This window comes from Homo sapiens, chromosome 5 (genome assembly GCF_000001405.40).
Source record: "Homo sapiens chromosome 5, GRCh38.p14 Primary Assembly".
NCBI lineage: Eukaryota > Metazoa > Chordata > Mammalia > Primates > Hominidae > Homo > Homo sapiens.
The window spans coordinates 58472797-58500602 of record NC_000005.10 but is presented as its reverse complement, the minus strand read 5'-3'; the positions used below and the strand labels follow the sequence as shown (position 1 = coordinate 58500602).

Below are 27806 nucleotides of genomic sequence, written 5' to 3'. Positions count from 1 at the left end.
ACCTCATCTAAACCTAATTATTAATTCCTCTCAAAGCCCCACCTCCAAATACCATCACGTTGGGAAGTAAGGCTTCAACGTATGAATTTCAGAGAACACAAACCTCCAGCCTGTAACAATGTGGATACAGGCATCACCTCCCCTTTTTGATTTCTTTTAGCTCTCCTCCTTGGAGCCCAGTATCCCAATCTGCCCACAGGCCCTGGTCAAAGAAGTAACTGAGAGGTTGTAAAGCAAGGCTTTCAATGGGCTTATCAGGGATCCAATTGTTGTGGAGATCAATAATAGGGTGAGAAGTGAAGTATAAAGCAAATTGCAGTAAAATGTTTCATGTTGGAGGCTGAAAGCAAGGTCAAGACATCAGGTGCTCATTGTTGCTGGATGCTGGCCAGTCTTGAACTGGCTGTAAGTCATGGAATGTGAACACACCTAAGTGTGTCTGTAACAAAGTCATACTCAGTATATTCGATGCTACTGTCTCTTTTCCCCCACCCCCAACATCCTTCCTTTTAAATTGTTTACATGTGGTTCCTTTTTTAAATAGTGTAACCCAAACGAGAAACTGCTGCTTTCAACTGATGCAGACAGACTTTATCATCTTTATTTCCTGTGCACAAGCTTTACTTTTGAGATTTTGAGAAGGCAAAGAAATGCTGTAATAAAGAATGCAGATAAGAGATAGGAATTTGAAGGCAAGAGAAAGATAGAGTTAGAAAAAAGAGAAGAAAGAGGTGGAGGAAGCATATTGATGAAGGAGGAGAAATGAGAGAGGGAGGGAGAGAAGACAGGATAGGAGAGGGGGTGAAGAATGGAGGGTATGTATAGTAAAAAGAGAAACTTGAATGATGTATTTCTTTATTCCCCTCAGCAATTGATAAAGAACTTACAATTAATTTTAAAAGGAAGTCAAGGTAAGAATTAGGTAAAGAACCATTGACTAAATACTTCTTTTACTATCTTTTCTGGTCAAAGAGAGTAAACAAACGTCAAATATTCACTACATCTCTTGTTAAATGAAATTTATGCGAGTCCATTGATTAGATTAGTGAGCTTTTGCACTAGATTCCAACAGACCAAATGTAAATGGAGTCACTCAGGCCAAAGCTCCATCCCACCAAACTGAAACTTGTTTATCTGACTTTCTGAGACATCAGAAGAGAGATAATAGCCAAATCCCCAAACAGACCAGTTTTAGCCTGAATGATAAGGAAGTCCCCTGTGCTTCAGTAATTGCAAGAAAAGTAACCTAAAGTAACCTGATGTTAACCAATCCTCTTTTTTATATTATACTGTTTTATCGTCCTTGCTTAAGTTGCCTTATGAAAATGGACTCTTCTGCCAAGCCCAATGGAGTACCTGTTTAAACCTTCAAATGGGATGCTGCCAGATTTATGAATTGCTGATAAAACTAGCTCAATCTTTAAACTTAATCTATTGAAATTTCATCTTTTGACACTTTGGATAATCAATTATAATGGACAAATGTCAATACATCACATATTTTACAACACAAACCACCATTCTTAGAGATCATAGGACTTTACTTCTTTTACATTTAAGCTTTTACATTTACATTAGACTGGAGTGGCTGTAGCGCAGATAAACACATTGACAATGCTGCCCATTCTTCAAGAAAATGGCACAGGACTTACTGATGAACTCAGTGTGTGTGTTTGGTAGGGAAGGGGTAAGACTGGGAGTGTGGGAAAGAGAAGAGTATACAGGGATAATTGCAAAGTGCTTTACAGAGATGAGGAAGACTTACAGAAGGAACAGGTTTGGAGGCTGTATTAAGAATGAGTTGAGCTGTCAATGATAGAAAACTACACTCCATGGGCTTAGACACTGATAGTCCATTCATTTCACCTAACAAGGAACCTGCAGTTAGGCTTTTGATGGCTAATATCAGCTCAATGATGCCATATAGAGATCTCCTAACTGGCCACTCTTTCTCAGCCACCTATACCAGAGTCTCCTCATTAATTTATCCTCAAAATACTACAATTTCTGGAAAACTTCTAGATTCCTCCCTTTCCTCCTTTCTTGATTCCCGACTCTGTGCTCCCCCTGGTGTCTTCCCAGGAGATGGCATCCATTCTTATTCCTGTAAATACCACCTAAATGCTCATGACTGTCAAATTTACATCTCCAGCCAGGACCTCTCCTCTAAAATCCAAATGTGCACATACAACGGCAAACTGGATATTTCTACTTGGGTCTCAGGACATATTTCAGGAAATGTCAAAATAAATATGTTCAAAACTGAGTTTTGCCCTTGTCGCAAGAATTAGAGGTTGACTGAGTCACATTCTATTTTCAACTCCACTTTTCTTTTTCTGCCCACTCTATGAGGTTACCAAAGGTAAAAATTCAATTGTCCATGCACTCCTACACCAGATGGTGTCTGTGTGACACAATTCTGAGCAATGAGATAAGTAGATATCTCCTGGTTCTGCTCTTTCCCCTCATTTCTTCTTCATGGCTGAAGCATGAATAGAAGGCTTAAAGATTCAGCAGCTGTATGGTGGCCATGAGGCAATAGAGATGAAGATAAAAGTTGAAACACTAAGGGTGGCAGAGAGGAAATAGAGAAAGAGCCTGGGTCTTTCTATATGGTATCATTGAGCTGATGTTAGCCATCAAATGCCTAACTGTAGCCTCCTTGTTAGGTGAAATAAATGGAACTATCAGTGTCCAAGCCCCTGGAGTGTGGTTTTCTGTCATTAGCAGCCCAACTCATTCCTAACTGATGTGGCCTCCAAGCCTGTTTCTTCTTTAAGTCTTCCTCATCTCTGTAAAGTACTTTGCAATTATCCCTGTAGACTCTTCTCTTTCCCACACTCCAGTCTTGCCCCTCCCCTATCAAGCACACACACTGAGTCCATCAGTAAGTCCTGTGCCGTCTCCTTGAAGGACAGGCAGCATTGTCAATGTCTTTATCTGCACTGCAGCCACTCTAGTCTAACTTAAATGTAGAAGCTTCTTAGCTATCCTACCCACTTCCATTTTGGCCTCTTTCCAGTCACTTCTCAACCCAGTAAATCTTTTAAAAATGCTAGTGTCATCATCACGTCTCTGCTTAAAACCCTTTACTGATTCCCGTTGCACCTATAATAGAGTCAAAGCCACGTACTAAGACTTATGAGAAGCTCATGGTCTCCCATTCCCTCCTTCACCAACGCAGCAGGTGTCACTCCAACCCTTCCTCAGGAAACTCCAGCCACAATGGCTTCCTAGAGCACCATAAATTCTCTTAGGCCCCAGATTCTTTTCACGGGTGGGTCCCATTCTTACTCTCTGCCCATCACATTTATTATAGCTTCCTTCTGCCTTCAAGTCTCAGCTTAAATGGTCTCCAGTGAGGCCTCCTTTGACCACCCTATTAAAATTAAAACAGTCTCTCCTACCCAACCCCATTGGTTTCAAAAACAGAAAGAATTTTTTATAAAGCACCTACTACCATTTTGATATGTATCATCCCGGGTACACTTAGAAAACAGAAACCATATCAATTTGTTTTAACAGAGAGAATTTAATATAGATAATTGGCTAAACAGGCATTGGCAGGATGGAAAAACAAAAAAGGGGACACAGGTACCACAGAGATAGTAACTGTAACAATCTTGGCTGAGAGTTACCAGACCTCAGAGGAGGAGCCCTGCCAGGCTGGGACGCAGAACTCTGAGGGTACCACTTGTCTCCTGCACCACTTCAGGAGGTTGAAGGAGAGTCTGGCTGTCAGAGTCTAAGGGAGGGTGCCACCTGGCTGGTGCTGGTGCTTCTGACAGGTTGCAGAGAAGCTGGTCCTGGGAATGATGGAAGAAACTAGAAAGCTGCAAACAACCAGTGATGCTGGAGTAAACCACATGGCAATAAATTCCTGCGGGGGCAACAGAAAGAATAGGCAGGAGCAATTCCCTGTTGCCTCCTACTGCCTTTCGGTCTTCCTTAGTGCCCCCTATTGGTAGAGAATAGAATGGATCCACCTGGCAAAAGAAATGTTTGCAGAGGCCCAGGTCAAGCAATTCAGAGGAGCAAATAAAAGAGTGGATTTAGAGATGAGCTATCATAGCTTCATGAGCAGCATCGTATTCATTTGTTTACTATGTTTTCTTTCCTACTAGACTGTATGTGTTCAGGATCCATGTCTCTCTTTTTAATTTTGTAACCCCTCCACCAACCCATGTCCCTCAGGTGCACAGCACAATAGCAAGTAGATAGAAGACACAACAAATATTCCTTGTATGGATGAATAACAGATGAATTTATTAGATTTTTTTCTCAAAACTACTCAGCAAAATGTACAATTCAATTCCCGTCAGTAAAACATGAGGCATTTAGTGCCTTATGTGATGTTCTAGGCATTTGGGCAGTTTCTTTTCATTTAGGTGGGAATTTAAGACATTTTCATATGAAGCTAGGTAATAAAATGCTGTGGCAACATTCATATGTTTAAATGTCCTAAGAATTGAAGAGGCATCAAAGCTTATATCAGAAAATAAAAAGGTAAATGCGGGTTTGGAGTGATTCAGGAGATGTGTGGAAGAACTTATGATCTGAAGCAGGCTTGAGAGAAGAGGCAGAAAAGCAAAGCTGTGAAGGAAGGATAAGTTTGGCAGGTTTTAAGATGATTCTGCTGAAGGCAAAGAAATGAGAGATAGTAAGAGAAGTCACTGGAAAAGTGAATTGGAACCAATTGTGGAAAACCATAAATTTTGGAGTTCAAATTATGGGTATTATGTCTTTTGCAAAGAGGGGGCATTAAAACATTTTAAGTGAAAGAAATAATGTGGCTGTTAGGAATATTTTCTGAAGATAAATCTGGCAACACCATCGGTAATTGATTGAGTGGGTAGAAACTAGAAGCAGGAGGAACAGTTAGGAGCCTATGACAATAATTCTGAGCCAGATAAAGATAATGGTAGAAATAAAGGAAAGAGATAACGGGTAATATTTAGAAGGAAGAATCAATATCACATAATACAGATTTAGTCTGGTGCAAGGAGGGTGGAGAAGATATCTAGAATTAATCCACAGCGATACACATAGGATTCAGAAAGGTGGAGATAGGCAGAGACCATCCACTTATCAGAACTTGATTAAGAATGGCATCAGTACAATAAAAATCACAGTGAATTATTTTTAATATTTTAATTATAATTTTATGTTCAGGGGTACATGTTCAGGTTTGTTATGTAGGAACACTTGTGACTTGGGGGTTTGGTGTACAGATTATTTCATCATGTGTGTACTAAGCATAGTACCTGATATTTTTTTTTTCCCTGAACCTCTCCCTCCTTCCACTGTCCTCCCTCAAGTAGGCCCCAGTGTCTGTTGTTCCTCTCCTTCTCTCCATGTGTTCTTATTATTTAGCTCCCACTTTTAAGTGAGAATATGTGGTATTTGATTTTCTGTTCCCATGTTAGTTTTGTTCTTTTTTTACGGCTGCATAATATTCTATGGTGTATGTGTACCACATTTTCTTTATCCAGTCTACAGTTGATCAACATTTAGTTTGATTCCTTGTCTTTGCTGTTGAAAAATTACAGTGAATATTTATCATCCAATAACAAAAGTCAATATTTTGAAAAGCTAATATGAATCTGGAAGAATGTATATATCTTCATCTTGAGGAACTTCAGAAGGACGAGGCTTCTGGAAGTTATAATAGTCAGAAGATGTCTCATTTCCATAGATATGCTCCTCGAAATTAGACTGCCCTGTGTTTTCATATAGTTCCTTATCGGTTTTTCCTTTAGCTTTGGGAGGACCTGCTTCCACATTTTCATAGTTGTCGTGTGTGTTATTTCCCCTGACAGCAGATTTGTGGTCTTGGGTTTCAACTGAGATTTCATGCCTTAAGCCAATGATGCGGGGGCCCAAGAATGTTTTAGTACAGACTTTTCTCCTGCTGCTTCTCCTTTGTAAAAACCTCGGTAAGGTAAATCGTGTGGCAACACGGTGTTTCCAGTGCCAAACACACCCAATTCCACAAACCACTAAGAGTAAAAGAAGCGAAATTCCTACAGAAATGGCCGCTAAATTATTTCCACAGCTTTTCGACATTTCTGTACAAACAGTGCTGTTTAGTGATTTGGTGTTACCCTTAATGAATTCACAGTGTAATTCTTTGTAGCCTAGTATTATTCAAAAATGAGTTTGGAAGCTCTTTTAGGCATTTTCCTTTTCAGATCTGGAAGAACATTATCTGGTAAAGTCCTGATGCAATTAGAGGAGAGAGTGTATAAACTTATTTCTGGAAGATGGCTCTCTTCGTGTGTGATGCTCTTCACATTACAGCCATTAATGTATAATTGTACTGTATTGGGGGATTTTATTCCATTCCACTTCCTTTTCTGTTAACGAATCACAAAATGAAGCAGAAATGAGTGGAAGATGACAGCAGAGTAGAAAACTCAAGAAAAAGAAGGTTGAATGATCTGCCATCCAGAAACCTGCTATAAATTAAAAATATGTTAATTGCATACTTATTATCTAACATAGAAAAATTACTGATTTTCACCAATGCATTAAACACCAGCATATAGTGAGCTTCTGCTTTTAATATAAAATATACTACCCGTTGTGATGAAAGGAAAAAGAGTTAGAAAAATCCTGTCCCTGCCCAACCCTGAGTGGTTTTATCACTTAGATCTCCACATAGTTTTTGACAATTAGGATAACAATTTTTGAGTGAAAGATAATGTTCTGAGCACAATAGAAAAAAAGGGACATATACAGACACGTGCAATCATCTTTATTACCTGTCACCTCTTCTGTGAAGCCCTGCTTATCCTTTTTTGGAGCAGTCAGAGGCCATGTCTTTTTCTTAACCATTCCTTCCTCTGTAATCCCATATTAATGAGTCCATTCTCTATTATAGCGTGATAACCTAAATGAGAGAGAATTGTATTCTTACTTGGTTAAATGGTGGGCAGGGTTCAGGTCATTTCATCTGTATGTTCCCAGAGAATGGCACAACACCTAGCACAGAAAATGCATCCAATCAATATTTATTGAATGAAATAATGCATTTAAAAATGACTGCAAATGTCAGCATCTAATTGCTTAAGATGATAGTTTAAAACTCAAGGGTGTAGTTTATACTTAAAACATGAAATGAGATCTTTAAAGTAAACCAATGTATTTTCAAAATCCTTAGTATCACAGGTTTTCTCATAGCTTTCAGAAAATAACTTCCATGCAAGATGATTTTACATTGTTTTCTGTTGATGCTTTAAAATGGCAAGGAGACAAGAAGGGGAAGTGTTCAACTGGGCTGCATGTTCCATTGTGATTTTATCAACAAAACATTATTACTGTATATTTTCAGTCTAGACATAGACATAGATCCAACAGTGCCTGTGAAATGATTATTATCATCTATGGAATGTTATTATCATCAATAATGTTTAGTTAAGAGTTTCAGCTTTTAAAAACTGTTACAGGGATTATCTCATTTAATCCTATAGCTGCTATATGTAGTGGGTACTATTCATATCACCATTTTATAGATAAGAAGAGAGGCTTAAAGAAGTTAAGTAACTTCCTTACAACCAAAATGTGACTGAATGAGAATTCAGGTAAAAATTTCCCCAAAATATTATTTATCCAAATATCTGTAACATGCTACTAAGTGCATCAGTCAGAAAATTTGTATAGCTTGATTAGCTCTGAGGTTCTCGAAGGTTGGAAATCATATATTATTTACCTTTGTATTACCAACACCAGCATTAGACACAGAATGACTAATCTATTAGACATTTGTTAATGAATGAAGTAATCTCCTTATGGGATAATAATAGTAACAATGAGAAGAAAAATAGAAATTCACAAAGTGGTGCTCTGCTTTCAGTGAGTTTTCATGAAAAGTTTAATGGTAATGAACGTTCATAAATTTGTCCAAGGTTAGAATATATTAATATGCAAATATTTAATTTGACATTTCATAAAAGAAAATTAAATAAGATGTGCAGCTAATTTATACAATTTTTTGATAAAAATACAGGGACAAGCACCCCAGATGCAGAAACATTTTAATCTCCTTGGAATTTTTGGGAGTAATATTGAGGTTGAGAACTGTATGGTCCGCCACATAAGATTTACAATCTGCAGGGTCCCTCCTTTATAAGGCCAGCCGTGCTTGTGTTCAAGGACAAAAGTTTAGCCAAATGACTTTAATCATTAGGACCTCATTTCCTGTCTGAAACAGATGAGCACCAATTATCTGCAAGATATTTTATGGTATACATGGTTAATGATTTAAGAAGTTATTTGCCAGAATATTTGAAATAAATTTACAAAATACACTTTAAGTATTGATTGAAATTAATCAACTTTTTGAAAGATACTAGGCCTGCAACAGAAGTCACGGTGAGGGTTGAGGAAGGCTAACTATTGTCACTTCTGTAGCTGAGGATAAGGCAATAAATTACTCTCTTAATTTTTAAGAAGAAAAGGCATTTTTACCATCTATGTTATTCTATGTAGAGTAGAAATTCTGGTACATCCAAAATATTAAAATTGTTTGTCTAAGAGATATTTACCAAGATAAAGACAAGAAGACTTTTTACAGAAAAAGAAATGCATCATTTTCTTCGAAATAACATTAGAGGAAAAAACCTGTGAGACATGAACAAAGACCTACTATAATGAAAAACATATTTTAAACAATAACCATTCAAATATAGTTTAACACTTAAATAATGTTCACTTTGACCAGTTTGAAAGAAGACTCTGTTTTCATTTTGGAAAGCAGTTCCAACAGGTTACCTAACAATTTGACATTTTTCTTAAAATCGCAAATTGTTGAGAAACTTCAGGAATTTTCAAGTAAGAGAATGCCCTGCTGTTTGGAAACAAGGTAACAGCAAAGCATAATCATATTGTAAAGAAACATTAACATCACTCTCAGTTTGTAAATTGGGTTTCCCCCTTACAGCTACGTAAGGCATTTTTTTCTAAAAACTGTAGTAAGATAAAAATCATTGATTAATTAAAGACAAACTTGTTTCTTATAGTGTTTAATCATCCAAATACCTTAAATCAGGTTCTTACTTACCTCAAGATTGGTGTGTCAAGCTCTCTCTTTTGTTCTTTTGGTTATGTTTTAAACCTGCATTGGGTTAGAACTTGTTCCTCTTTTTCACTTTGGTGGGTTACTTCCTTCTTTCCCTCCTTCGTTCACGCTATTTAATACTTGCAAAGTTTCCTGGCTCTAGAGGAAGTCAGTATCAGATGCAGCAGAATTAAGATAAATGGCGTGAGGTTTTGAATAAGGAAGTCTGGCCCTTCATCTTTGTCAAGTAATAGTTTTTTAACTGTGTCAGAAAATAATACGTAAAGCCTACATGGTTTTTTATTTGGGCCATATTTGCAGTTCCCACTTTAATATCAATAAAAGTCACTTCACTTGTACTTTGATTTTTTAAAAAAAGAAATATTTTAATTGTAGTAACACATAGGTCTTGGGCTTTTATTATTATTATTATTATTTACTTGTGTTGCTAGACCAGTCCTCTCTTCAAATATTAATATTATGTACCAATGCTCCCAAGTTATAGCCATACAGGTCAAATCAGTGTCCCAATTTGGGTTTGGAAAATGTTAACGTTCTTTTAAATTTATAAATAGGAATTTCCTAAGGTATGTTTTGAGGCCCATTACCCCTGAGATATGCTAGCAGCTCTTCCATCAAGTAAATGTGGGGAATACTGCTTCCCTGGAGATTCATGGGTACATCAGCATGCTAAAGGCTCTCAGCAGTCTTACAGCCAGCAAACAAAATAAAACCAAATAAGAAAAAGAAATTGTTTAACTTTGCTTAATAATAGTAGTCAGTATGTTCCTAGCACTAAGTACTCCAAACCTTTTGTGTAATACTCAGCAAATCTTGGCAACAACCCTGTGAGGGAGAAAAACTGTTATTAGTCCTATTTTACAGAAGAGGAAACAGAAGCACACAGAATGATCACTTGCCCGACAGAGCCTGCAGTTTGCCCCCAGCACCTGTGTGCTAAACCACTGCACTGGCTGCCTTGCTAGATTGAGTAACATGTTTCCCACATAGATACGCTTACCAAGAGCATCTCTTGGAGTCCAACTCATGGGAACACACACAGTGGGAGATGCTGAATTAGACAAATTACAGATGAATTCGACAGATGAGATGACAAAGTAATGGAAAATTTGTCTTTTAAGTTGTCTTGGAACTTTTTGAACCACAGAGGATTAACTTTGCATAAGGTGGTTTTAAAAAAGAGGATTTAGTTACTGAAATAACTACTGGACATTGGAAGGACAGGACGTATTATTAACACTTGCTGAGCACTGACATTATGCCAGGCATTGTGCTAAGAGATGAGGATGCAAGAGTGAATAAGCTCCCTGCAGCACTTAAAGCCAAGTAGAGAGGCTGCTGCGCCCACAGAACATTTCAGATCAAAGTGATAATGCCTAAGAAAGACAGGATTATGGACAGGGACAGTGGAGGTAAAGGAAAGAGGCATCCAGCTCAGAGGGTGGTCAGGGAAGGCAAGACCTGAGCTAAGCCTCATAGAATAAGGTGTTAAGGCAGAATAGGGGTGTCCTGGACAAAAATCTTACAGTGAAGGAGGTTATGAAGTTGTGAAGCTATGAACTTGATGTGCTCCACATTCTCACCACTATATTTAACTTCAGTATTAGCCACCCCTCCAAATAATATACACACTCACCTGCCTAGGCATACATCTGTAAGAAAGGCAATTTATACAATGTTTGTATAAAATTATGATTTTCTCTAGAAGGCAGGACAACTGGTGCTCATTCAGCTTTTGCCCTTTGAAGTTAAAAAAGTTGCTTAACCCCTTATTACTTTAGTTTTTCTAACGGAAAATAAAATGGAGGGAAAATGACTGGCACTTTCCTCAAATAGAATTTTTTTGATGTAATGGATATAATTATTCTTCAAGTTTATAAAAGAAATGCTGTATATATTCAAAATAGAATTATTGGATCATTGTCATTTGTAGGGATTATGTTTTATGTCTTGAATTCTATATTTTCCTACTTCCCAATCTTTGGCCTCGCAAAATACATATTTATTGTCTCCTTTCAGTTCCTTTTTAATCACAGCAATTATGTCTAGGTTTTCTTTTCCTGCTTTTTCTTCTACAGTTATACGGTTTGGGTAGTAAAGGGCTTAGGAAGTAGTTTATTGTTCTGTAGTGTAATATGGACTGGATCTTTCATCTAAGTAAATCTTCCTCTCCTATTAATTGGTGATAGCAACCACTTTACTTAATTGTGATTTAAGTTCCCAGCAATTTCTTGTGTGTCAGTTAGTATCCATTTCTTTTAACCCATGCCCTTTTTCAGATACTTGAACTGAGTAACATTAGTGACGGTAAAAATGAACAAATGTTTGTGTATGTGAATTTTATTTGAAAGCTTGCCAGACTAAAAGCATCTTTCTGGCTATTTTGGAAGGAGCCGCCAAACCCCATGCTACTTGTTAAGGGTATCATGGGAATTTACATTTTAGCATAAAGCATTATGTTACCTCGGAAAGGTAATGCATTTAGTAGCTAACAAATTTATTAACACTAATCGGTTTATGGGATTAACCAAAAAGTAACTAGAGTTTTAATAGAATGTGTCACTACCTTCCAACTAAAAGTTTTTCACTCTGTGGCCCAAAGAGTTATAAAAATTTTAAAGCGGCTGGGTGCAGTGGCTCACGCCTGTAATCCCAGCACTTTGGGAGGCTGAGGCGGGCAGATCATCTGAGGTCAGGAGTTTGAGACCAGCCTGACCAACATGCAGAAACTTATCGCTACTAAAAATACAAAATTAGCCAGGAATGATGCAGCATGCCTGTAATCCTGGCTACTCAGGAGGCTGAGGCAGGAGAATCACTGGAACCTGGGAGGCAGAGGTTTCGGTGAGCTGAGATAGCGCCATTGCACTCCAGCCTGGGCAACAAGAGCAAAGCTCCGTTTCAAAAAAAGAAAATTTTTTTTTAAAGCAAAAAAACTGAGCAGCTAAAGATGAAGAGAGAAAACATGAATAGGAACAGGTAAAAATAAAACCATTGTTGCTTTAGTTATGCTTAGGGCCAATCCTGGTAGCAGTTGGCAAACTTAAATCACATAATTTGTAGAGTGTAGGGGATGGATTTTACTGAAATGGGTCTCAGATGTTCATCAAGAGATTCATTCCCAAACTTGAATGTTTATCAAAATCATTTATGAAGTTTTAAACAAATACGTAAATTTCTAGGACCTTGAAGATTCTCCTTCATTACTTCTGGAGTGGGGCCCAGAGATCTTTATTTTAAAACCTTAGAACAACATTTAGGAATTTATGGGTAGGAAAATGAGATATTATGCAGACTGTGAGGGGAAAGATGTTTACATTTTATTTTACAGTCTTTTGTGTTATTTGATATTTTCCACTAACATATGCCACTTTTGTAACAAAACAAACTTTAAAGCCTCCCCAAGTGATTCTGATTTGCAGCCATGTTTGGAAACCACTGATGCAAATTAACCCCCTGGCTGAAGTGCAGATAACTGATGTGATTTAATCCATAGCCTCCAGCCTAGAAAGCAGAAGCCTGGTCTGGATATAAAAATCCAGTCCCTTCATTCTGACCCAGCACTTCTCTGTTGTACTACAACACTATCTCAATGCGGAATAGATGAGAAAAACATTCTTAGATGTCCCCTTCAATAGTCTATCTTTTTTTTTCTTCTTCTTCTTCTTATATCATGAGGAGTTGGGGAGATATACATACACAAATAACAAGAAGTTGGGGAGAAGGAAAAAGGAGAGCAAAATCCATCAGGGTTCCCATAGGAATGAGCTACGAAAAGCATAACCCTACTGGCGGACCCTTTTAAGACATGAAATTTGCCACCTGGAACACTTCTCTGGCCTAAAATGATAAACATTATTATGGTTCATATGACAACTTAGAAAGGTTAAATTATGGTCTGGGACTAAAAGAGAAGATGCCGAAAGAAAAAGTAAAAAGACCCAGGAATTTCATTCATTGAGTGTACACACCCAATAGAAATAAGTATCACTTCTTTTTATAACAGCTTTAGGCATAATAACTCAAGGCTCTAGAAATAACCCAAAGGTCCATCAATAGTAAAATGAGTGAGTAAAGCATAGTAAATTCATGTGATGGAATACTACACAGAAATGAAAAAGAACAAACTATAATACTAATATACACAACATCAGGATGAAGCTCACAAACAATGCAGAATTAAAGAAGCCACATACACAACACTATACACTGTATGATTCCATTTATATGAGATCAAAATTACATAAAACTTATCTATGGATATATGATAGAGGTCAGAAGAGCTGTGGTTACTATAGATCTAGTGATGCATCAGAGAGCCTTCTTGGATGCTGGGAAAGTTCTGTATCTTGATCTTTGTAGCAGTTATGAGATGTATTTTATGTAACCATTCATTAAGCTGTATATTTAAAATTTGTGAACTGTATGTAAGTTGTATTTTAATCCAAAAAGAAATTGGGAATGAATAAGAGAATTCTTATATGTTATAAAAATGGAGATAATTAGATATATATTTTTATTCATCCAGATTACCATCTTCTTTGGCAAGCTGGTCTACTAGTTTGAGCGAAGGAATTCTGTGCTGAATTTGAGGTAGACTTTAAGCTATTTGAATTCTAACTTTATTTGGAACTTCCTGAGCCTCGGCCTTGGTGAGGCTGGTATGAAGATGAATTACTAATGAGTTACTAATGAATATTGAGCTTCAACCCAGTCAAAGCAAGGGGTCCTATTTTCTGAGATCAAAAATATGATCATAAATACTTTGACTTACTCAAGGGATATGTTCCCCAAGATCACATACAACCCAAAAACATATAGGTATAAAACGATTTATACCTATTTCTTTTTCATCTTGATTAAGTAACACAACTGTGAATCTTGCTTTCTTTGTCCATGAGATAGCAATGGATGGGGTATCCCTGAGCTTCCTTCAAATCTACTAAGTACATAACAGAAATTGGTCATCAACACAATCAGAACAGAATGTTTGAAATTGGTTTTCGTGTTTAGTATGTACTTCCCTTTAGTCCAATTCCCTTTTTTTTTTGGTCATAAGTCTTTCCTAATTGGTATGCAAATCAGATAACATGGAGTGAGGCTTGCTTTAACTTTAGTTGAACAACACTGTCTCTTCTTCCTTCAGTATTTCCCCTTTTATTCCTTCAGATAAAACTAAATGCACATTGAAGAAATTGAATAACCATTTAATATGAAACAATTTTTGAAACATTTTACTTCTTCATGAATAAAACTGAAAACTGCATCATTCAGTATTCCTATAGCAGATACATCATCCATCTCAGGCTGTGTATATAATTTCACAGGTCATATAACCCATAAACTATTACAATGACAAGTTTTTTTGTTCATTTTAGAAGAGTTCTGTGAACTAGTACATAAGACACCAAATAAGTCATTGTTTGATTCTGCCAACTTCTTCAGTAAATGTTGAAAGGCATAGTACAACATATTATAATTTTTTTTTTTTTTTTGAGACAGGGTCTCCCTCTGTCACCTGGACTGGAGTGCAATGGCATGATCTTGGCTCACTGCAACCTCTGCATCCAAGACTCAAACAATCCTCCTGCCTCAGCTTCCCAAGTAGCTGGGACTACAGGCATGAGCCACCACGCCTGTCTAATTTTTGTATTTTTTGTAGAGATGGGGTTTCACCTTGTTGCCCAGGCTGGTCTAGAACTCCTGGACTCAAGCGATCTGCCCACTTTGGCCTCCCAAAGTGCTGAAATTACAGGCTTTAGCCACCGCACCCAGCCACATATTATAATTTTTACATAACTAGGAATGTTTTGAAACTGCGCATGTAGCCGGGCTAGATGAGAAAACTGCTGGATTCCCAGGAACTTTTCTCCCACAGAGAGCGTCAATCACTATTACCATTTCAAAGTGGCTGCGTTTGGGGGCTAGCTCATTAAAGAAAAATATTACCCTAAACCCTTTGCTTTAAGACCCTGCATGATCTCAGGTGTACACTGATTCCGAGAATCAGTGAAAGGGAGGCAGAGAAAAGTAACAGCTTTAGATCTTCTCTTTTTACAAAATGGGATGGTGCCCTGCATAAGTCTATTTTGATAAGGAGAAACAGAGGGTGAAGAAAATAAGAAAACAAACACTAAAAGAGTGGGTGGGGCGGGAGATCTGTCTAAATGGGACCTGATAATCAGGCCCCCGCCTTTTATTCTCCCATGGGAAACATGCTTTGAAAGCCAATTCATCTTTAGATGAACACTGGTAAACATTCACCCAGAACTTGAGAGCACTGGTGTAGAGCATAAATGTTCCATGGTCTCAGGCAAGCCAGTGTGATGCTCCTGCTAAACCTGCTTTGTGCTTCCACGTAGACATCACCTTCTCCTTGGATATATTAACTATAGATTAGGCTAAAGTCACAATGGTCTTTCTTAAGAGATGTATCACTTACTATGACGTGCTCCTTTTATTAATGCATTAGAATTTTAAGACTATCTCTGTGTTGTCCTCAGAGTCTATTTCTATCCCTGACATTGATTAATTTGGGCCAGTCATTCAATCACAGAGTATCTCAATTTCCTCATCTGTAAAATGGATTTTAAGAAGTCAAAGATTCTTAGGTCCAGTTGCCCACTGGAATCTCCTGAGGAATTTTTAAAAATATGAGTGCTTAGGTTACAGACCATAAAAATGAAAGCAAAATCTCTCAGGGTGTAACTCAAGCATTAGTATTTTTTAAAGTCCCTTGGGTATGTAGATGTCCCCTGCTAATATTCTGTGACTCTCTGCCATACCTTCTTCAGTAAACCACTTAACTCTTTACTTTGGGTTTCCTCACATGAAAAGGGAACTTGAGAGACAGTGTTGCAAGAAAAACAACCTGCAAAGTGCTTAAAGTTCACCAGAGGAATATATATCACTGAAAAGAAAGAACCCAGGGCCGGGCGCAATAGCTCACGCCTGTAATCCCAACACTTTGGGAGGCTGAGGCAGGCGGCTCACCTGAGGTCAGGAGTTTGAGACCAGCCTGGCCAACATGGTGAAACCCCGTCTCCACTAAAAATACAAAACATTAGCCAGGCATGGTGGTGGGTTCCTGTAATCCCAGCTACTCGGCAGGCTGAGGCAGGAGAATTGCTTGAACCGGCGAGGCGGAGGTTGCAGTGAGCCGAGATCCCACCATTGCACTCCAGCCTGGGCGACAAAGCGGAACTCTGTGTCAAAAAAAAAAAAAGAAAGGAAGGAAGGAAGGAGGGAAGGAAGGAAGGAAGGAAGGAAGGAAAGAAAGAAAGAAAGAAAAAAGAAAGAACCCAGGAATTTGCATACTGGTTAAAATGGCACTAATACTTCACATTTATTGGGCACTGAACATAAGTCAAACATTTCTCTAATCCCTTTACATGGGTTTCCTTTTTTAATCCCCACAACAAGCACGTGGATGAGTATTATTCACTAGTTTGGAGATGAGGAAACTGACACACAGATCAGTTAAATTACCAACCCAAGTTCACACAGCTTATGCCAGAGCTTAAATTCCAACTTGGATCACACAATTTGAGTCTAGAGCCTGTGCTTTTGAGTCTAGAGCCTGTGCATAGTACCTCTGCGGTACTATGAACTACCCTCTTATTTTTACTTTGTTTATCTAAATTCCTGTAAAGAAGTCCCAGATTAAAATCTGCTTTATTCCAAAGGGGATAAAGTCAAATTCCTATTTATTTCACACCATCCAATCTGAGCTAAAGACAGTGCCCTGACTGTGGAATATTGACGGACTAGAGCAGGGCTCTTGCCCACGTTTTAAGAAAGTATGAGAGGTTTTAATAAGTAATTGAGGAGACATAAAAATGAGAGGCTGAGCTGTAAGATCATGAAGCTCGTGATTAGAATTTTTTTTCTCTACAGTTCACAGTTGGGGAGTGACATGCTCAAAACCGGGCTTAAGTATGGCCACTCTTGCTACTATTATGCAGAATCATGGAAACGACCTCATGTTTACCTTTGACTGGACTTAGCAAGCTGCTGCAAGTAGAGGCGGCCCATGTCTCTGCATACGCAAGGACATGTCTGTACCTCACATCACACCATCTCTTGCCTGCACAACTGCAATAGCCTCTTCCTGCTCTTCTTACACTGGCGATGCTACAATACCTCATCCTTCGGCTGGCAGAGCGATATTTCCCAAATTATAAATCAGATCACATCAGCCCCCCTGCATAAGACCCTTTACTGGCTACTCATACTCTTAGAATTAAACCCCAACCCCTAATACAGGCTATAAGGCTCTCCATGCTCTGGCGGCTGCCTGTTGCTATTATTTCCTCCTGTGTCCTCCCCAGGTCACTAGCCTCCAGTGACCCTTGTTTTCTCTGCACCTCCTGTGCGCCCAGTTCTTTCCTGCCTTAGGCCCTGCACTAGCTATGCCCATTACCATGCTGCTCTTCTCCTAAATCCTCCCATGCCTGCATCCTTCTCACTGAGGCTTCCTCTTCCATATCCCCTCCCCAGCGAGGATTTCCGTGACCTGCCCAGTTTGAAGTGCACCCCAACAGATGCTGTCACTCACTATCAACCCATACACACTGTCATGGTCACCCACACACAGACTGTCACTCACTCTCAACTCTACATACATTATCATTCCTACACATGCTCTCATTGTTATCACTACACATGCTGTCACTCCATCTCACCTTCACACACATGCCCTCACTGACACCCCTACACAGGCTGCCCCCCTCTGTCACCACTATACATGCTGTCATTCACTGTCAAACCTACACATGCTGTCCCTCCCTGTCACCCCTACACTTGGTGTCACTCACTATCATTCCTACACAGGCTGTTCCTCACTGTCACCCTTATACAGGCTGTCCCTCACTGTCACCTCACATATGCTGTCCCTGTCATCTCTATACATGCTGTCCCTCACTGTCACCCCTACACATGCTGTCATTCACTGTCACGCCTACACAGGCTGCCCCTCTCTGTCACCCCTACCTAAGCTGCCCCTCACTGTCACCTCTACACATGCCATTATTCCCTGTCATCCCTAAACATACTGTCCCTCATTGTCACCCCTACACATGCTGCCCCTTATCATCACCCCTAAACATACTGTCCCTCACTGTCACCCCTACACATGCTGTCATTCACTGTCACTTCTACATGTTTTCACTCACTGTCACCCCTACACATGCTGCCCTGCACTGTCACCCCTACACATGCTGTCATTCACTGTCACTCCTACATGTTTTCACTCACTGTCACCCCTACACATGCTGCCCTGCACTGTCACCCCTACACATGCTGTCATTCACTGTCACTCCTACACGTTTTTGCTCACTGTCACCGCTACACATGCTGTCACTTGCTATCACCCTAACACATGCTGGTCGTCACTGTCACCCTTATACACGCTGTCCCTCACTGTCATCCCACATATGCTGTCATTCACTGTCACTCCTACACATTTTCACTGACTGTTGCCCCTACACATGCTGTCCCTCACTGTCACCCCTACACATGCTGTCATTCATGGTCACTCCTACATATGCTGTCCCTCACCGTCACCCCATACATGCTGTCATTCGCTGTCACTCCTACACATGCTATCACTCACTGTCACCCCTACACATGCTGCCCCCTCTGTCACCCCTGTATAAGCTGCCCCTCACTGTCACCTCTACACATGCTGTCACTCCCTGTCACCCAACATACTGTCCCTCACTGTTACCCCTATAGAGTCTGCCCCTCACTGTTACCCCTACGCATGCTGTCACTTCCTGTCACCCCTACACATGCTGCCCCTCACTGTTACCCCTACGCATGCTGTCACTTCCTGTCACCCCTACACAGGCTGCCCCTCACTGTCACCCCTTCACATGCTGTCCCTCATTATCATCCCTATGCATGCTGCCCCTCACTGTCACCTCTAATCATACTATCCCTCATTGTCACCCCTACACATGCTGTCACTCACTGTCACCCCTATACATGCTGTCCTTCACTGTCACCTCTACACAGGCTGTCACTCACTGTCACCCCTACACATGCTGTCCTTCACTGTCACCCCTACACATGCTGCCCCTCACTGTCACCCCTACACATGCTGTCACTCCTACACACATTATCACTTGCTGTCACTCCTGCACATTCTCTCATGCACTGTCAGTTGTACACACATTGTCTCTCACTGTCACCCCTATACACATTGTCACTGACTGTCACCCATACACATGCTCTTACTCACTGTCACCCTACATATACTGTCATTCACTGTCATACCTACACACACTCTCACTGTCACCCCTACACAAATTGTCTCTCACTGTCACCCCATATATATTGTCACACATGGCCACCTTACACACACTGTCACTCCCTGTCACAGCTACACATGCTCTGTCACCACTACACACATTGCCACTCACTGTTACCTCTACACACACTCACTCACTGTCACCTCTAAACATACTGCCACTCACTGTCACCCCTACACATACTCTCACTTCATGCCTATGCCGATTATCATAGTTAGCCCTACACACAAACACGTCACCCCTACACACATTGTCGCTCTCATCTCCGCACATGCTCTCACTGTCACCCTGCACATGCTGGCACTCCCTGTTACCCCACACACACTGATGCTCACTTTCATACCAACTTGTTCCATTTTTATAATAGCTTGTAGCACTATCTAATACTTTGATATTTTGTGTTACTCTTATCCCTCCTAAACTTAGTGCTAAGTTCATGAGAAGATGGGTTATGTCTTTTTTGTTCACTGCTGTCTGATTTATCAGGGTCTGTCATATCATGTAAAAGGGGTTCAATAAATGTTGCTTATTAATAAATGAAAAAATAGGGATTATTCTTGGAGAGTAATCTTGGGCTAAAATAATAGACTTTATGGTGCTAAACATAAATACACATCACACAGCATATGCAGCACTTGTATGTGTATTATATATATACACACAAATATTTACACACATACAAATGTACCTATATAGTTTAGAGAATAACAAATAAGTACACTCAGGTAAAGAAATTGAAAAATCACCACTACTTTGGAAACCCCAATTTGCCCCACCCTATGATGTTCTCATCTTTCGTCTCCAGAGTAACCATCATCTTGGTTTCTTTTTGTTCATCATCCTTGTTCTTTTTAAGAATTTGATCATCTAAGTGTGTGCCTGTAAATTGTTTTGGAAAACTAGAGGGCAAGTGCAGGCTTGGATAGTGTAGAAATGGCAAGATCCCCACTCTTTGATGAGGCTCTCAGGAGAAGTGAATCCACACTGAGCTTTGAGACCAGCTTGTTGAGAAATTACAAAGCCCATTCAGGGGGGCTCCGAGGTCAGCAGAACAGGTGTGGAAAGTGCCATGAGAAATGCACAGCTTGTCAGGAAGCTGGCAGGGCTGTAGTGTGGACCAGACACTGGATGGCTGATGGAGACAAGGTCAGAGCCAGGGGTTGTTTCGTATTTTCTGCTTCTAAGTATGGCCTTTAGGCTTGGTCAAAAAAGAACATTTCTGTGGAATAAAAAGGGCTTTCAGCTGATTCAGGCAGCAGAATGTCAAGACAAGACAATTGTAGGCAAGTATAGGGGCCAGGGTCACTGGGACCTCAGGTTTAAAAAGGGTGCAAAGTTGGCTGGGTGCAGTGGCTCACTCCTGTAATCCCAGCACTTTCAGAGGCCGAGGCAGGTGGATCACTTGAGGTCAGAAGTTCAAGACCAGTCTGGCTAACATGGTGAAATCCCATTTCTACTAAAAATACAAAAAATTAGCTGGGCGTGGTGGCACACACCTGTAATCCCAGGTATTTGGGAGGCTGAGGTAAGAGAATAGCTTGAACCTGGGAAGCGGAGGTTGCAGTGAGCGGAGATGGTGCCATTGCACTCCAGCTTGGGCAACAAAAGCAAAACTCCATCTAAAAAAAAAGGTGCAAAGTTAGCTGGAATAGGGTGCATTATTTCCAACAAAAACTCTCTGATACCCTTTGCTTTGATTGGTTGATTCATTTAATATTTATTTAGTTTTACACTTTGCCTCTAGATTGTCTTTTGGACAGGCTTTATTGCATACATATAAACTCCGTTTGAGTTCTTTTGTTTCAGGGGACAGAGCCACAACTCAAACTGACTTACACAAAGTGGATTTACTGACCTATCTAACTAAAGAGTCTATGTGCTTACTTAGTTTCATTGGCAATCTTTTATTTCTCAAACTGCCTGAAGAGTACATGGGTATTCATTATAATAATCCTCTTGAATATCTGAAATATTTCATAATAAACTAACATAAAACAAACATGAAATGATTGGATCCAGGGTTTCAGAAATGTCATCAGGTCTTGGTCTCTCCTTTTTCTGGTTGGTACCCTTTCCTCTAGGAAGTCCCTACAGCTCCAGGCTCCATACACTGGCAGGATAGTAGCAAGAATGCTTGTCTTCTCTACACTTCCAGAAGTCCTAGAGTTGGTCACTGGCCTGAGTCAGGTTCCAAGCCAACTGTTGGAACATCCTGTGGCTAGAGATGTGTGATGCTCTGATGGGTTGAGCCAGGCTCACACACCCACCCTGAAGCTAAGGAATGAGGCCAACAAGTCCTCCCTACTCCAAAGCATGGTTTGCCAACAGCTAGCAATGACATTTTGACTATAAGAAGGGGAAGGGATGCTGGATAGGAGAAACACAAGTGACCACTTCAATTCTTGAGGGTTGTTTAAAGGGATAAGGGCAAGACAAAGAGTTCCCTTAAGAGAAAGATAATAACTATTTCTCAAGTTGTCTCCCAAATTCTGTTGAGGACCTAAGGCAGCCCCTAAGCAGAATTACTGTCAATAAGTCATAAAGAAGCACTAATATTATCCTATTGGTAGAAGGAAATGGTGGAATTATGCTTTTGTCAATAAAACTAGTATTGATACTCTCCACTGTGACTAAGACTCTCTTCTTGACCAAACTCTCCCCAGGCTTTGTTGGGCCTTTTCTCTACTAGGTACCAGCCTTGGCCTATGCAGACTTGGAACAAACGCTAACAGTTTCTCACAGCTCAAGGCCACATCCCTAGGATGACCCTAGCTGCCCCTTAAAGTGTTGCCTGAAAAAACCTCAAGCTACCAAAAGAATCCACTGTTTGTTCCAGCCAACACCTGAAGATAGAGCCCTTGTCTCCTAGTCTCTGTGGAAGAGTAGGAGCTTAACTTTGATCATGTCAGTAGCAAACTCAGATGGGTTTCACATGGAGCAACTCCCCTTTTCCTGCTTTTTGTAATTTTTTCCCTTTCCTGGCTCTGCTGAGCCTCTGCTCACTCACTCCCTATTCCCTCATTCTCCCTTAAGATGCTGAGTCAACTTTGTGCAAATCAAACTTGACCACAGTTCACACTGGGCTCTTTTCCTCATTGCTATAGTATATTACTGATTAGAAATCTGTCTTTTTCACTTTACTAGTGCCCAGTGTTGTTTATATCACCTGCAGAAAAAAAAAAAAATTACTGTAGAAGTTAAGGGCCAGGTTGCTTTGGGAGCAAATGTTTTAAAACCAAAACTTAAGAGAAGGCTGCCCTCTGCTGCTTAAAAATCTTGGTTTGGCAATGTGTGTGTGTAGTTTTGTTTTTGATTTCTTTCGTTTGTTTTTTACTTTCTCACCCCCTATTTTTGTACATATGCCCAGTTACTAGTGTCTTTGTTATAAACATGATTTCTATGAAGCTGATTTTTAGAAACCATCATACTCTGGACCAATACAACTTAAGCAAGATTGAATGGCTGACCCTTTCAGCTGGTTTGCTTGGCTATGGATAGACTGCCTGAAAGTACTAGTCGATAATTTAAAAGGACATCTCTATAAGCACTTAAGACTGATCAAATGAACTAAAAAACATTGAGTTACTCCATATAAATGCAATAAACTCTTCCTTTACGTTACAGTACCAAGAGAGCTTGCTCGTGACACTGTTTGTCCACACCTCCTTGATCTTTTTCTTTGGTGAGTGTGAGGAGCCTTTATTTAAAAAAAAAATTATTTCTTCCTTTTTCACTATAGAAAACTGGACAAATATAGAAACCTTAAAAGTGAAGTGTTGATAAAATTTCACTTTAAAAACTCACCAGAAAGCTAGGATGAGCAATGATCCTGAAGTGGTCCTCTCTCCAAATCCTCTGTTACGGATTTCTTGGCAAGTTCTTCCAAATAGTCCCTTCACTACTTCTCTGCTCTCCACCCAAATAGCTACTCTCAGCACATGACTTCATTTTGTGCTTTACTGAGAAGATGGTCACCTTGTGGTGGAGGCTCTGGCTTCTTCCTTCCTCTTCAGCTGTCTCCAAACTCCTCTTCTCATTGCCAGCTTCAGAGAACAGCTGTCTTCCTTGTCCCAAAGGTGAATTTTTCTCCTTCTGCCCATTCCCCCAGATCATATTCCTTCAGTAGTCCTCACTCTTCAACATATTGAAGTGCTTTTTCTTTTTTAAGCAGTTATAACCCCAATGATCTTGCTGGATAATATTCTAGATAGAACTCAGTTTTCATCACCATCACTTCCCAACTTTTTGAATGACCTAAATAGACTGTTCACTCTGTCCCACCTACAGAAACTGCATTCACACAGATTAGATTACCCTCTAATTATTGTTCTACTTGACCTCCCTGCAATGTTTTACACTTTACTTCCTGGAGTCTTTCCTGCCATCTCTTCTGGTTTTCTTTTATGCCTCTGACATTTTCTGGTTATTTTCTGTCCCTTCCTATCTTCTGACTCATAGGACTTTACATGTTTTGTTTACTGGACTCCCTAATAAAATACTTTTGAAAATTATGTACCTCTTCACACACTTTTAAGTTGACATGTAGATTTTGTCATAAGATTAAAGAGTGATATGGTTTGGCTGTGTCCCCACCTAAATCTCATCTTGAATTGTAGCTCCTATAATTCCCATGTGTCCTGGGAGGGACCCAGTGGGAGGTAATTGAATCATGAGGGTCGGTATTTTCCATGTTGTTCTTATGATAGTAAATAAGTGTCACAAGATCTGATCTAAAGGGGAGTTCCCCTGCACACACTCTGTTGCTTGCCACCATGTAGGAGATGACTTTGTTCTTCATTTGCCTTCTGCCATGATTCTGGGACCTCCTCAGCCATGTGGAACTGTGAGTCAATTAAACCTCTTTCCTTTATAAATTACCAGTCTCAGGCATGTCTTTATTAGCAATGTGAGAACAAACTAATACAGTAAATTTGTACCAGTAGAGTAGCGTGCTGCTATAAAGATGCCTGAAATGTGGAAGTGACTTTGGAACTGCATAACAGGTAGAGGTTAGAACAGATTGGAGGGCTCAGAAGAAGATAGAAAAATGTGGGAATGTTTGGAACTTCCTAGAGACTTGGAAGGCTCAGAAGATAGGAAGATGTGGGAAAGTTTTGAACTTCCTAGAGACTTGTTGAATGGTTTTGAGCAAAATGCTGATAGTATGGACAACAAGGTCCAGGCTGAGGTGGTCTCAGATGGAACTGAGGAACTTTTTGGGAACTGGAATAAAGGTCATTCTTGCTATGCAAAGAGACTGATGGCATTTTGCCCCTGCCCTAAGATCTGTTGAACTTTGAACCAGAGAGAGATGATTTAGTGTATCTAAAAGACAGTTAGAAATTTCTAACCAGTGAAGCATTCAAGAGAAAGCAGACCACAAAAGTTTGGAAAATTTGCAGCCTAATGATGCAGTAGAGAAGAAAAAAACATTTTCTGAGGAGAAATTCAAGCTGGCTGCAGAAATTTGCATAAGTAGCAAGGAGCTGAATGTTAATCACCAAGACAATGGGGAAAATGTCTCCAGGGCATGTGAGAGACTTTGTAGCAGCCCCTCCCATCAGAGGCCCGGAGGCCTAGGAGGAAAAAATGGTTTCCCAGGCTGGACCCAGGACTCCCTTGCTGTGTGCAACCTAGGGAGTTGATGGCCTGCATCCTAACTGCTCCAGCCACGACTTAAAGGTGCCAAGGTACAGCTTGGGCCGTGGCTTCAGAAGGTGCAAGCCCTAAGCTTTGGCAGCTTCCAAGTGGTGTTGAGCCTGTGGGCACACAGAACTTCTGCCTAGATTTCAGAGGATGTATAGAAACTCCTGGATGTCCAGGCAGAAGTTTGTTGTAGGGGTGGGTCCTCATGAAGAACCTCTGCTAGGGCAATGGGAAGGGAAATGTGGGGTGCAAGTTCCCACACAGAGTCCCTACTGGGGCACTGCCTACTGGAGCTGTGAGAAGATGACCACCATTCTCCAGACCCCAGAATGCAGATCCACTGACAGTTTGCACCATGTGCCTGGAAAAGCTACTGACACTCAATGCCAGATGTGAAAGCAGCCGGCGGGGGAGCTGTTTCCTGCAAAGCCATGGGTGGAGCTGCCCAAGGCTGTGGGAGTAAACCTCTTGCATCAGTGTGACCTGGATGTGAGACATGGAGTCAAAGGAGATCATTTTGGAACTTTAAGGTTTAATGACAGCCATATTGGATTTTGGACTTGCATGGGGCCTGTAGTCCTTTTGTTTTGGAAAATTTCTTCCTTTTGAAATGGCTGTGTTTAACCAATGCCTGTACCCACATTGTATCTAGGAAGTAACTAACTTGCTCATAGGCTCATAGGCAGAAGGGACTTGCCTTGTCTCAGATGAGACTTTGGACTGTGGACTTTTGAGTTAATGGTGAAATGAATTAAGACTTTGGGGGACTGTTAGGAAGGCACGATTGGTTTTGAAATGTGAGGACATGAGATTTGGGAGGGGCCAGGGGTGAAATCAGATGGTTTGGTTGTGTCCCCTCCCAAATCTTATCTTGAATTGTAGCTCCCATAATTCCCACATGTCCTGAGAGGGACCTAGTGGGAGGTAATTGAATCATGGGGGCAGGTCTTTCCTGTGATGTTCTTATGATAGTGAATAAGTCTCACAAGATCTGATGGTTTTATAAAGGAGAGTTCCCTTGCACACACTCTCTTGCCTGCTGCCATGTAAGACATGACTTTGCTCCTCATTTGCCTTCCACCATGATTGTGAGGCCTCCCTAGCCATGTGGAACTGTGAGTCAATTCAACCTGTTTCCTTTATAAATTACCCAGTCTCGGGAATGTCTTTATTAGTAGCTTGAGAACAGACTACTACAAAGAGTAATAAAATATATATCTGATATGGGGAAAATTATATGTGCCTCTTAAATATATTTTGCCCAAAACAATGGAGCTGCACTTTCAATTTATGAACAACTTCCACTATAATTTAATTGACAAACATAACCTTCATTGTCAAACTAATCAATCAGAAAATATGACTTTGTGTTTCAACTCAAACAAATGTGCTAATACCCGTATCTGTGACAACCATCTTGTTGCCAAATTCTGTCTTGAGGGAAAAAAAAAGAAAGGAACAACAACAAAAAAAACCAAAACAAAGAATGAAGCAGGAAGTCTTGCTATAGGTTTGTCACTCAGAGGAAGTAAGACCCATGCACTTTAATATTCCTTAAAGAAACTCTACAGTTTCAAATTTTCCCTTTGTTCTTGGGGCTCAAATGGTGTTTATAGCTAGTGAAAAAATGCACCAGGGAAAAATATTGTATGTTTCAATGAATAGATGGATGAATGGATAGATGGATGAACAGATGGATGGGTGGGTGAAAGGTATGCCCTCCATTTTTTAAATTAAAGAAGGATAATTGTGGAAAATAAATTGGGAAAGGAGAAAAAGCAGACATGTGGTACCATCAGATCAGTTTTAGAAAAGAATACGTAACAGCTGATTATCTGTAAACTAATTCCCTTAGAAGTCTCTGTGGAGCCCAGTACGCCTTGAAACATTTTCAGAGGTGTGCATATCCTCATTCAAAGGGACTTTTCTTTCTTTTTTTTTCTTTTCTTTTTTTTTTTTTAGATGAAGTCTTGCTCTGTCACCCAGGCTGCTGGAGTGCAGTGGCATGATCTTCGCTCACTGCAACCTCTGCCTCCTGGGTTCAAGCAATTCTCCTGCCTCAGCCTCTTGAGTAGCTGGGATTACAGCTGGGCTAATTTTCTTATTTTTAGTAGAGACGGGGTTTCACCATGTTGGTTGGTCAGGCTGGTCTTGAACTCCTGACCTTGTGATCTGCCTACTTCGGCTTCCCAAAGTGCTGGGATTACAGGTGTGAGCCACTGAGTCCAGTCTCTTGTTTTTTCTCTTTATTTTTTTCTCTTGGAGAATTGACTCAGTCTCAGAAATCTAATGATCACCTCTAGGTAAAGCTGAGAAATCTACTGATTCTTTCTTGCATTTAAAAGCACCAACAATGCCTGGCTGCAGTGGTTCATGCCTGTAATCCCAGTACTTTGGGAAACTGAGGCAGGTGGATTGCCTGAGGTGAGGAGTTCACGATCAGCCTGGCCAACATGGAAACCCCATTTCTACTAAAAATAGAAAAATTAGCTGGGCATAGTGGCTCGTGCCTGTAATTCCAACTACCTAGGAGGCTGAGGCAGGAGAATAGCTTGAACCTGGGAAGCAGAGATTGCAGTGAGCTGAGATCATGCCACTGCACTCTAGCCTGGATGACAAGGTGGGACTCCATCTCAAAATAAATAAATAAATAAATAAAAGCACCAACAAGATATTTCTATTTGAAGATCTCACACTTAACTGCAGACTTTCACCCCATAGTCAGCATGATAATAAAATCTATAATTTTTGTGGAAAGGTGTTTTTCA

The 27806-nt window shown here is 40.2% G+C and overlaps 1 protein-coding gene across 6 annotated transcripts; it reads right to left on the bottom strand.

Annotated features, from left to right (window-relative positions):
• Positions 1-3512: 3512 nt before the first annotated feature.
• GAPT (GRB2 binding adaptor protein, transmembrane) lies at positions 3513-9168 on the bottom strand. 6 transcript variants are annotated; one of them, NM_001304429.2, is made up of 3 exons: positions 9062-9168; positions 6765-6984; positions 3513-6356 (listed from the first exon to the last, which is right to left on the bottom strand). In NM_001304429.2, the coding sequence occupies exon 3, from the start codon at positions 6064-6066 to the stop codon at positions 5593-5595; it is 474 nt and encodes a 157-aa protein (NP_001291358.1). In that variant the 5' UTR covers positions 6067-6356; positions 6765-6984; positions 9062-9168; the 3' UTR covers positions 3513-5592. The 6 variants fall into 6 exon arrangements, with proteins under 6 accessions (NP_001291358.1, NP_689900.1, NP_001291360.1 ...); NM_152687.4 differs by having other exon boundaries at positions 6920-6984; NM_001304431.2 differs by having other exon boundaries at positions 6765-6892.
• Between the last annotated feature and the right edge of the window lie 18638 nt (positions 9169-27806).